General features: G+C 42.6%; 1 protein-coding gene across 2 annotated transcripts in view; it reads right to left on the minus strand.

Moving 5' to 3' along the window:
- The window catches only part of CRLF3 (cytokine receptor like factor 3), a 42,009-nt gene that overhangs the window by 19,320 nt on the left and 10,504 nt on the right, over nt 1-12,185 (minus strand). The window contains exon 2 of one of the 2 annotated variants that reach the window (NM_015986.4): nt 1,898-2,105. The exons of the other annotated variant lie outside the window; for it this stretch is intronic. Within the exon in view, the coding sequence (NP_057070.3) occupies nt 1,898-2,105 (208 nt within the window). The remainder of the gene's footprint in view (nt 1-1,897; nt 2,106-12,185) is intronic. 2 annotated transcript variants of the gene reach the window in all.

Genomic DNA, 12,185 nt, shown 5'->3' on the forward strand with positions numbered 1-12,185 from the left:
ACTATTCCAGACAAAGTTAAGAACTTCCTCCTCTATGCTCCAATAAGGTCTTGATCTCTTAGCATGTATCTCTCTCTCACTGGGCTCTGAATCCCAAAGGAAAGAACTCTCACCTATTTTATTCTTTTCTTTTTTTTGAGAGGGAGTCTCACTCTGTCACCCAGGCTGGAGTGCAGTGGTGCAATCTCGGCTAACTGCAACCTCCGCCTCCCGGGTTCAAGCAATTCTCCTGCCTCAGCCTCCCGAGTAGCTAGGACTACAGGCATGCGCTGCCACGCCCGGCTATTTTTGTATTTTTAGTAGGGACGGGGTTTCACCATGTTGGCCAGGATGGTCTTGATCTCCTGACCTGATGATCCGCCCACCTCCACCTCCCAAAGTGCTGGGATTACAGGCGTGAGCCACCGTGCCCGGCCTTTATTCTTAGTCTTATTTTATATTTTTTGAGACAGGGTCTTACTCTGTCACCCAGGCTGGAGTGCAGTGGTGCAATCACGGCTCACTGCAGTGTCAATCTCCTGGCCTCAAGGGATCCTCCCGCCTCGGCCTCTTAAGTAGTTGGGACTCCAGGTGCATGCCACCATGCCCAGCTAAGTTTTTTTTTTTTTGTAGCGACAGGCTGTTGCCCAGGCTGGTCTTAAACTCCTGACCTCAAGTGATCCACTTGCTTCAGCCTCCCAAAGTGCTGGGATTACAGGCGTGAGCCACCACACCTGGCCCCCTTGTTTATGTTATGTGCCTGACAAAGATCTCTGTTGAAGGAAGGTGGTATAATGAAGAAAGGAAGGCAGCAGGGCATGACTCAATGGAAATAATTGGCAAAGATAGGAGTAAACACCAATCACATTTTTTTAAACTTTCTAAATAAAACAATGGAGACTGTAATTGTGGTGGCTTTTGCCTGTAATCCCAGCACTTTGGGAGGCCAAGATGAGAAGATTGCTTGAGACCAGGAATTCGAGACCAGCCTGGGCAACATGGTGAAACCCTGTCTCTACTAAAAATACTAAAAAATTACAGGCATGGTGGGACGCGCCTGTAATCCCAGCTATTTGGGAGGCTGAGGTGGGAGGATCACCTGAGCCAGGGAGGTCAAGACTGCAGTGAGCTCTGACAGCACCACTGCACTCCAGCCTGGGCAACAGAGCAAAACCCCTGTGTCAAAAAAAAAATATATATATATATATAATTTGATTGACTGTAACACAGAAGATAAATGCTTGAGAGAATGGATACCCCATTTTCCACAATGTGATTATTACACACCGCATGCCTGTATCAAAACATCTCAATGTGCCCCATATCATTTATTCTTTCTTGTTTTATAACTAATTATAACTAACACTTCAACTGCACTTGCCATGCGATACCTAACGGTATATCTGTCATCCTATATTACAAACTGTCTCTAGGTAAGAACATTCTAAGAACCCCACAGCTGGCAAGAAGCCTGCTGCTATCCTGAGAAATCAGCAAAATGTCAATCTGAACGAACCACATTTAACCTGTGATATAATTTGGCTCTGTGTCCCCACCCAAATCTCATCTCGAATTGTACTCCCATAATTCCCATGTGTTGCAGGAGGGACCCGGTGGGAGATAATTGAATCATGGGGGCAGTTTCTCCCACACTGTTCTTGGTAGTGAATAACTCTCATGAGATCTAATGGTATTTTAAGGGGAAACCCCTTTCGCTTGGCTCTCATTCTCTTCTCTTGTCTGCCGCCATGTGAGATGTGCCTTTCACCTGCCATGATTGTGAGGCCTCCCCAGCCACATGGAACTGTAAGTTCATTAAACCTCTTTCTTTTGTAAATTGCCCAGTTTCAGGTATGTCTTTATCAGCAGTGTGAAAATGGACGAATGCACTAATACAACAGGCTCCCTGGTCCCCCACCTTCTCGGACTAAGTCCTCTGCAGTGTTGACTCCGTGTTCTATGAGCTTCTGGCAGTCATCTAGTGGTTTAATGGTCTCCTGTTCAATGGTGTCCACCTCTTGCAAAAGGGTCACCAATCGCTCATCCAGGAGCTTTCCAAGGGTTCCCTTTAAATCATTAAAATGCTGTTTGAGAACATCCCTTGTCTGTGATGCACTTTCTTTGATCTAAAAAGAAATAACAAAATACTCAAAATCAGAATCTTTAAAAAAGGCTAATCCAAAGGTATAATTCACATGAATCTAAAAGCACTGTATAACCATCTTCTTCAATTTAGTAAAAAAAAGATTAACTGAAATTATATTTAAGGTGTGATATTTTGATACACATATACATAGTGAACTGTTAACTATAGTTAAGCTAATTAACATGTCCATCTCTTCACATGGTTACCTCTGTGTGTGGTGAGAACACTTATGATCTCTCCTAACACATTCCAAGTATACATTACACTATTATTAACTATTGTCCCTATCCTGTACTTGAGCTCTCTAGAATTTACACATATTAAATAACTGAAACTCTGTACCCTTTGACCAACATCTCCCCATCCCCAACTCCATCCCTGGCAAGCACCATTCTACTTTCTGCTTCTATGACTTCGACCTTTTTAGATTCTACATATGAGATCGTGCAGTATGTTTATTTCTGTATCTGGCTTATTTCACTTAGCATAGTGTCCTTCAGGTTCATCCATGCTGTCACAAATGACAGAATTTCCTTCTCTTTTAAGGTTGAATGGCATTCCATTGTATATATACATCTTCCATTCATTGATAAACCAAATGTGATTCATTTGCACAAACAGACAGAAGTACACAGAACTGCCCTTCAAGTCAGATAGAATAAGCCAAATCTTGGTTTCATCATTCACAAACTATGTCAATTTGGTTAAGTTAATTAAGTATTCTATGCCTCAATTTTCTTATTTGTCAAATGAGCATAATAATAGTTATTTCAGCCGGGCGCAGTGCCTCATGCCTGTAATCCCAGCACTTTGGGAGGCCGAGGAGGGCAGATCATTTGAAGTCAGGAGTTCAAGACCAGCCTGGCCAACGTAGTGAAACCCTGTATCTACTAAAAATACAAAAATTAGCTGGACGTGGTAGTGCGGGCCTGTAATCCCAGCTACTTGCGAGGCTGAGGCAGGAGAATTGCTTGAACCTGGGAGATGGAGGTTGCAGGGATCCAAGATTGCGCCACTGCACTCCAGCTGGGCAACAGAGTGAGACGCCATTTCAAAAAAGAGAAATAAATAATAGTTACTTCATGGAGTTGCTGTGAGGATAAATTAAAATAATCTAGGTACTACAGTGGGTAAAATAAATGGCACATTGTTATACTCGCTAAAAAAAGTTATAAATTATTATCTATACAAAGTTGTTCTTGAAAAGTGTACGTTTCAATACTGAAAATTGTTTAATTATGAGGGGATTAAAATTCATTTTACTGAAAAGCAGCAAAGAAGTGGTAGATTAAAAAGCTATGGTCAGCTGGGCATGGAGGCTCATGCCTATAATCCCAGCACTTGGGAGGCCGAGGTGGGTGGATCATGAGGTCAGGAGTTCAAGATCAGCCTGACCAACATGGTGAAACTCCATCTCTACTAAAAACACAAAAAAATTAGCTGAGTTTGGTGGTGCATGCCTGTAATCCCAGCTACTTAGGATGCTGAGGCAGGAGAATCGGTTGAACCCGGGAGGCGAAGGTTCCAGTGAACTGAGATCGCGCCATTGCACTCCAGCCTGGGCAACAGAGTGAGACTCCGTCTCAAAAAAAAAAAAAAAAAAGCAAGCCATGGTCAGGTGCAGTGGCTCACACCTATGATCCTTGCACTTTGAGAGGCTGAGGCAGGAGGATCACTTGAGCCCAAGAGTTTGAAACCAGCTTGGATAACATGGAGAAATCCTGTCTTTACAAATAATACAAAAATTAGCCGGGCATGGTGGCACATGCCTGTAGTCCCAGCTACTTAGGAGGCTGAGGTGGGAGGATCACCTGAGCCCAGGGGGTCGAGACTGCAGTAAGCTGTGACTGCACCACTGCACTCTAGCTTGGGTGACAGAGTGAGACCCTGTCTCTAAATAAAAATGAAAAGCCACAATACAAACAAACAAACAAACAAAAAAACTCATGGATAAAATGCCCTCATTATGCTAAAAGAAAACCAAAAATTATTTAAAAACCAAAGAGGCCTGTAGGAGGCAGAGCTGGGACAATGACTTAATCCTTTTTGAATTATAGTGCTCTTTGTCAATCTAAATGAGAGGTTTATAAAGCCTCTTCCTTTCAAAGTTATTGAAAGAGAAGAAAAAGCCTCTTCCCCAAAAAATACATAATCTATACCCTAAAAAATTATTCAATTGCAGAAGTTTACAAATTCCCTCAGAGCCAAACCATGGCTTGCCTGGAGCAGTAATTATGAAACTTCGTTTGCAGAAGAATCATGTAGGCTACTTGTTATAATTCAGACTGCAGAGTTCCATCCCAGACCTACTGAACCAGAAAATGACAGGAGGGGCTAAAGGAGTGTATGGATGGAGTTCTCATTTTTTCCAAGCACACCTGTGATTCTGTAGCCCACAATTTGAGAAACATTGCCCTAAATCTACTGATCTCAGATTAAGAACCCATATTCTAGGGGATATGACAGGAAAATCTTCATGTCAAATATATTATGAAGATAAATAGGTTGTTTATACAGACACCAGATTTTTCTTCTTTTATTTCAGAGACAGGGTCTCACTCTGTTGCACATCCTAGCTCACTGCAGCCTTGAACTCCTGGGCTCAGGTGATCCTCCTGCCTCAGTCTCCTGAGTAGCTGAGCTTATAGGTGCGGGCCACCACACTTGGCTAATTTTATTTTTCACTTTTTGTAGAGACGAGATCTTGCTATGTTGCCCAAGCTGGTCTTGAACCAGCTTCAAGCAATCCTCCCACCTTGGCCTCCCAAAATGCTGAGATTACAGGAGTGATCCACTGCACCTGGTCCAGATTTTTATTTTAAAGACTTCAGATAACAGGCCAGGCATGGTGGCTCATGCCTGTAATCCCAGCACTTTGGGAGGCCAAGGTGGGAGGATCACCACTGCAACCTGACCTGGGCGACAGAGCAAGGCCCTCTTCTCAAAAAACAATTCAGGTAACATATAATTCATTTTCTCTCGCTTAATGGGAAAATTCTAACTATAAGCCACTCCGATAAGTTAAAGCAAAAACATACTTTGCTTTCTAGATATTATTATCTTAGTTTCATATGACATATTGTTTACCACCATAACCCTTTTGTTAACTTTCTCTTATCAAGAAAGTTTAAAGTATAAGAAAAATCCACCAAGAAAGAACATATCAAAATATGAATAAAGGACAATATTTCAACAGTTAATATAGAGATTTAAAAACTTTCTATTTATTCTCTAAATTCTCTCTAAATTTAAAAAGCAGAATACAATATTGTTTCCCAGCAATGTTCACGACCATGTAAAAACAAAAAATGCCCATGCCCAAGGACTAAAACAGAAAAAGAGCAGTATCATTTACTGGGTGGGCAGACCATAGAAACAATTTTCTTTCCTTTTTTTTTTTTTTTTTTTTTTTTTTTTTTTTGACACAGAGTTTCACTCTTGTGGCCCAGACTGGAGTGCAGTGGCGCAATCTCGGCTCACTGCAACCTCTGCCTTCTGGGTTCAAGAGATTCTCCTGCCTTAGTCTCCTGAGTAGCTGAGATTACAGGCGCATGCCACCACGCCTGGCTAATTTTTGTATTTTTAGTAGAGACAAAGTTTCGCCAAGCTGGTCTTGAACTCCTGATCTCCGGTGATCCACCCACCTTAGCCTCCCAAAGTGCTGGGATAAGGCGTGAGCCACCTCATCCAGCCCTTTTCTCTCCATTTGACATTAACGCAGTTATAATAATATTTATGCAGTTAGTAAAATAATTCTTTAAATCACAAAGAGAAATCCTAAATTAATTGTTAACTAATTTCTGTATTTACCAAAGAATTTCTGTGAAATAAATCCAAGTAAAAATTTTAAAAAGAAAGAAAGGCCATAAACCCAAATTGCACTTGATTCAGCTCACCATTCAACTATGAGATCTTTGCAAACTGGGCCCTCATCTACATAGCATCTGGTAAACAAATGCTGTTGAGTGAAAACGCAGTTAATCATGTGTGTTTCAAAGAACTTTCTAAAAGAACCAAAGAGAGAATACCTTATGATTTTAACACAACCCCTGGGATACTGTTAGAAATTCAGAATCTCAGGCCCCACCCAGAACTGCTAAATCAGAACATGAATTTTTTTTCTTTCCTCCTCCTCCCCTAGAACCTATATTTTTTTTTTTTTTTTTTTTTTTTTTGGAGATGGAGTTTTGCTCTTGTTACCCAGGCTGCAGTGCAATGGAGCAATCTTGGCTCACTGCAACCTCCACCTCCCGGGTTCAAGTGATTCTCCTGTCTCAGCCTCCTGAGTAGCTGGGATTACAGGCGCATGCCACCATGCCTGGCTAATTTTTGTATTTTTAGTAGAGATGGGGTTTCATCATATTGGTCAGGCTGGTCTCGAACTCCTGACCTCAGGTGATCCTTCTGCCTCAGCCTCCCAAAGTGCTGGAATTACAGGCGTGAGCCAACGCGCCCAGCCAAACCTGTATATATATATATTTTTTTTTTGAGTCTTGCTCTGTCGCCCAGGCTGGAGTGCAGTGGCGCCAACTCGGCTCACTGCAACCTCCGCCTCCCAGGTTCAAGCAGTTCTCCTGCCTCAGCCCCCCTAGTAGCTGGGATTACAGGCATGCGCCACCAAGCCCAGCTAATTTTTTTGTATTTTTAGTAGAGACGGGGTTTCACCATTTTGGCCAGGCTGGTCGCGAACTCCTGACCTTGTGATCTGCCCGCCTCAGCCTCCCAAGGTGCTGGGATTACAGGCATGAGCCACCGCACCCGGCCAAATCTGTATTTTTAACAGGACCCTCAGTTGCTTTGTATACATATTACAGATACCAGAATAAGTGAAGACCTTGTGTCAGAACGCTGTAATACATTTCGAATGGCCAAGAGGAAATTCTGCAGTTGAGCACTGTGCCTCTGAGGTCCTGTCTTGCTCTTTAGCGGATATAGCATACACAGGAAGTGCATTGGTTAGGTAAAGTCAATTTCCTCTTCAGAAAGAATTCAAAAGCTCCTTCAGCTGTTGCAGAGCCTACGTTTTGTTTTTGTTTCAGAACCTCAGAAAAAAGGAAGTAAGTGAACACAAAACAGACAGAGGGCTAAAAAAATGAGACTCAATTTCCAAATTCACCTCCTGTACTCTCATTGTAAATTTGGTCCCTTTTGCTCATAGAATCCCAACCACTGCCATTTGAAACTTGATACCACCATGGGATCATTTTCTTTTCCTTGAAATATTTCATGATTTAAAGCCTAGTCACCTTTAATCCAATCATGTAACTAATCAAGTTCATTTGCTTGACTTTATGAAACTAATTTAAAAATGCAGCTCCACTGCTGAGTGAATTTCTTCATATTTGATGTGGTACCAATGGTTCCATGCGTTCACTGTTAACTCAATAAATCTTCACAATGCACTTTCAGAAAGTGAGGACCAAAGAAGAGAAAGAAGACAACTTACCCAAGGCTTCGCAGTGCCAGAAACAGTCTAACTCCAAAGACTATGCTCTTTCATTACACCATGCTGTTTTGTACTTACAGGACACTTTTTTTTTGAGACAGGTTCTCACTTGGTCGTCCAGGCTGGAGAGCAGTGGTACAATCACAACTCACTGCGGCCTCGAACTCCTGGGCTCAGGTGATTCTCCCACCTTAGCCTCCCAGGTAGCTGGGACCACAGGCATGTGTCACTACACCCAGCTATATTTTGTATTTTTTGTCGAGACGGATTTTCATCATGTGGCCCAGGCTGGTCTCGAACTCCTGGACTCAAGCAATCCTCCTGCCTCGGCCTCTCAAAGTGCTGAGATTACAAGTGTGAGCCACCGCGCTCGGCCATAGAACACTATTTTAAAAGAGCTCCCAGATAAATCTGTAAATTATGTATTGGCTAAAGACACTTCTTGGTATAACACGTAGTATTTCCTGTCCCTGTGTAAAGAATTGTGTGGTGGACAACCAATCAGCTTCAAATGCTACCTAGTCATTCAAGGCAAAAACAACTGTGGTGATTTGTAACAAAATAGATTTAAGAATACAAATGACAGACAAGATTTCAAACAGGAAACTGTAATATACATTGTTTATGTTGATCAATAATATTTTGAAATAATCTGCCACTAAAACCTTTAATGTAACAGACCATTAAAACTTACAAAGTTTTGGCCTGAGCACATTGGCTCATGCCTGTAATCCCAGCACTTTGGGAGGCCCAGGCAGGTGGATCACAAGATCAGGTGGTCAGGAGTTCGAGACCAGCCTGGCCAACATGGTGAAACCCCGTCTCTACTAAAAATGCAAAAATTACCCAAGCGTAGTGGTGCACGCCTGTAGTCCCAGCTACTGGGCTGAGGCAGGAGAATCACTTGAACCCGGGAAGCGGAGGTTGCAGTGAGCTAAGATAGTGCCATCGCACTCCAGCCTGGGCAATAGAGCAAGACTCCACCTCAAAAAAAAATAATAAATAAATAATAAAAAACAAAACTTACAAAGTTTCCACTACAGCTGAATATAACCCCAAAGCAACTGTTTTAAAATTTTAACATGATTAAGAGCTCACAAAATGCCAAAAATTCATCAAGTTTGTATTTCAATACTAAGCCACCCAAAAGCTTAGGGAGTATTTCCTTCACAACCCTCCAAAACAACAGTGACTGATATATTTTCCTCCAGAGTTTAGTTACTAAAAAGACATATGTAGAGGCCAGGTGCGGTGGCTCATGCCTATAATCCCGGCACTTTTGAAGGACGGATCACTTGTGTCCAGGAGTTCAAGACCAGCCTGGGCAACATGGCAAAACTCTGTCTCTAGTAAAAAATACAAAAAATCAGCTGTGTGTGGTGGCATGGCTTGTAGTCCCAGCTGCTTGGGAGGCTAAAGTGACAGGAACACTTGAGCCTGAGAGGTTGAGGCTTCAGTGGGTGGTTTTTGCACCACTGCCCTCCAGCCTGGGTGACAAAGTGAGACCCTGCCTCAAAAATAACCAAACAAACAAAAAAGAAAACCACATATATAAAACACAAAACTATTTGCTAACAAGAACATACTGATTAAAAACTGGCCAGGTACAGTGGCTTACGCCTGTAATCCTAGGATTTTGGGAGGCTGAGGCAGGTGGATTGCCTGAGCTCAGGAGTTTGAGACCAGCCTGGGCAACATGGTGAAACCCTGTCGCTGCTAAAAACACAAAAATTAGCTGGGTTTGGTGGTGCCTGCCCGTAATCCCAGCTACTCGGAGGCTGAGGCAGGAGAATCATTTGAGCTCAGGAGGTGGAGGTTGCAGTGAGCCGAGATCACGCCACTGTACTCCAGCCCAGGTGAGAGAGCAATACTCTGTCTCGAACAAACAAACAAACAAAAAACACCACAAAAAAAAACAGAAAAACATATTTATCAAAAATAAAAGACAGCCGGGTACAGCGGCTCATGCCTGTAATCCCAGCACTTTGGGAGGCTGAGGCAGTTGAATCACGGAGTCAGGAGTTCAAGACCAGCCTGGCCAACATGGTGAAACCCCGTCTCTACTAAAAATACAAAAAAATTAGCTGGTCATGGTGGCGGGCACCTGTAATCCCAGCTACTCAGGAGGCTGAGGCAGGAAAATTGCTTGAACCTGGGAGGTGGAGGTTGCAGTGAGCCGAGGCCGTGCCACTGCACTCCAGCCCAGGGGACAGCACGAGACTCTGTCTCAAAAAAAAAAAAAAAAAAAAAAAAAGGCCAGGTGCGGTGGCTCACGCCTGTAACCCTTGCACTTTGGGAGGCCGAGGCGGGCGGGTCATGAGGTCAGGAGATCGAGACCATCCTGGCTAACATGGTGAAACCCCGTCTCTACTAAAAATACAAAAAATTAGTTGGGCTTGGTGGCGGGCACTTGTAGTCCCAGCTACTCGGGAGGCTGAGGCAGGAGAATGGCGTGAGCGGGGGAGGCGGAGCTTGCAGCAAGCTGAGATTGCGCCAGTGCACTCCAGCCTGGGCGACAGAGCGAGACTCCGTCTAAAAAAAAAATAAAAATAAAAATAAAAATAAAGACAAAGATAAAAAATAGTCAACTGAAATTGAAAACGCTAATCAACATATTTTTTCTCAGTTTCTGTGAAATGTATATTACATTAGCTATTTGTCTTTGTACTGACACCAAGACATCAGTCATTAGTAATAATGGAAACAGCAACAATACAGCAGCAGCTATTATCTACTGAGTACCTGTATGCCAGGTAAATCTGTACCTATGGTCTCATTTAAACTCTACCATAACCCTGTGAAGAGAACCTGTGTAGATGAGTAACATGGGAGTCAGAGAGATGAAACTGGCCATATCACAAAGTTAGTGAAGTGGCAGAGATTTTGAATTCAGTCTGACTCAAGAATGGACTTGTAAGCACTGCTATGTTTCTCCTTGTTTCTCTTACACTTAAGACTTTTTTAGAAAAAAAAGTGCTTAATTGAGAACTTTCAAACAGAAAACGTATATTATATGATTTGGTAATCTGTTACAGTAGTGGCCCCCAATGAACCAGGAATTCACATTTCCAACTACTCGTGGCCTTGTGTGGTCCTCTCCCCTAGAATCTGGGCTGGGCCTGTGACTAGCAATGCAGTCACACGTGCACAGCAATAGAGTGAAACTGATCCTGTGCCAGTTCCAGGCCTCATCCTTCAGAAGACCTGTCAACATCTGCTTTTTGGAGGCCACCATGAAAGAAGTATGTCTATCTTTCTGGAGAGGACAAGGGGAAAGAGACAGGAAGGTGAAAAGGCAGGAAGGGAGGAAGACAGGGAGAGAGACTGGCACCAAAGCCCAGGTATGCCAGTGTTCCAACTGAGACTAGCTAATACTAAGTCTCCAAATATAAATGAATGTTCTCTGTCAGACATTCCAGCCACAACTGCAACCACAAGAGTGTTGCCAAGCAAAACCAGGAGAACTACCTATCTGAGCCCCAGTCAACTTCCAGAATTGTAAGCAAATAAAATGGTTGCTTTTTAAGTCATTAAGCTTTGGCACAGTTTTATTACGTAGCAGTAAACAAATCATATAAAAAAATACACGCTTAATTCTTGATTATCTATACTAATAGAGTGCACATCATCAAGACCAAGACAATCGAAAAAAGAATGTCTGCCAAATTACACCCACAACATTCATAAAGGCATTCATTCAACATTTATTGAGGCCTAGTATGTGTCAGAAATTAGGGTTATAAAGATGAATAAAGCATGGTCTTCACCTCAAAAACTCTCATTCTGGTAAGGGGGATGGCAAGCAAAAGTAACTATAATGAAATGAATTATGTTCTTACATATCTGGGGCAGCCACAAACTGCCATCAGAGCATAAAAGAGCATTATGATGGGAAAGAGAGTAGGAGACATTTAAAGAATAAGTTGTCAGTTGGAGGAGCAGGGGATGTCACCTTGAATAACAATAATATTTAGTATTATTATGGCTGACATTAATTAAGAATCTCCTATGTCCTAGGCACTGTGCTAAGCGTTTTTTTTTTAATAACTATAAGTTTTAGGGTACATGTGCACAACGTGCAGGTTTGTTACATATGTATACATCTGCCATGTTGGTATGCTGCCCCTATTAACTCGTCATTTAACATTAGGTATATCTATCTCCTAATGCTATCCCTCCCCCCTCCCCACACCCAGTGCTAAGCATTTTAAATAAGTTTCTCATTTTAATTCCCACAATGGCCAGGTAAAGCAGATACTACCCTTATCCTCATTTTACACAGAAGGAAACTGAAGATTAGGAAAATTTAGTTTCTCAAGCTTTCACAGCTAATACGAACAACTAAAATAGCTGCAAATATTAGTGACTCACTGATAGCCCTCAATAATAAAAAAAGGCTGGGTTGGGTGTGGTGGCTCTCACTTGTAATCCCAGCACTTTGGGAGGCTAAGGCGGGCAGATCACTTGAGGCCAGGAGTTCAAAACCAGCCTGGCCAACACAGTGAAACCTCGTCTCTATTAAAAATACTAAAATTAGCTGGCCTTGGTGGCGCATGCCTGTAATCCCAGATACTCGGGAGGATGAGACAGAAGAATTGCTTGAATCCAGGAGGC

Source organism: Homo sapiens, chromosome 17 (assembly GCF_000001405.40).
Source record: "Homo sapiens chromosome 17, GRCh38.p14 Primary Assembly".
Lineage (NCBI taxonomy): Eukaryota > Metazoa > Chordata > Mammalia > Primates > Hominidae > Homo > Homo sapiens.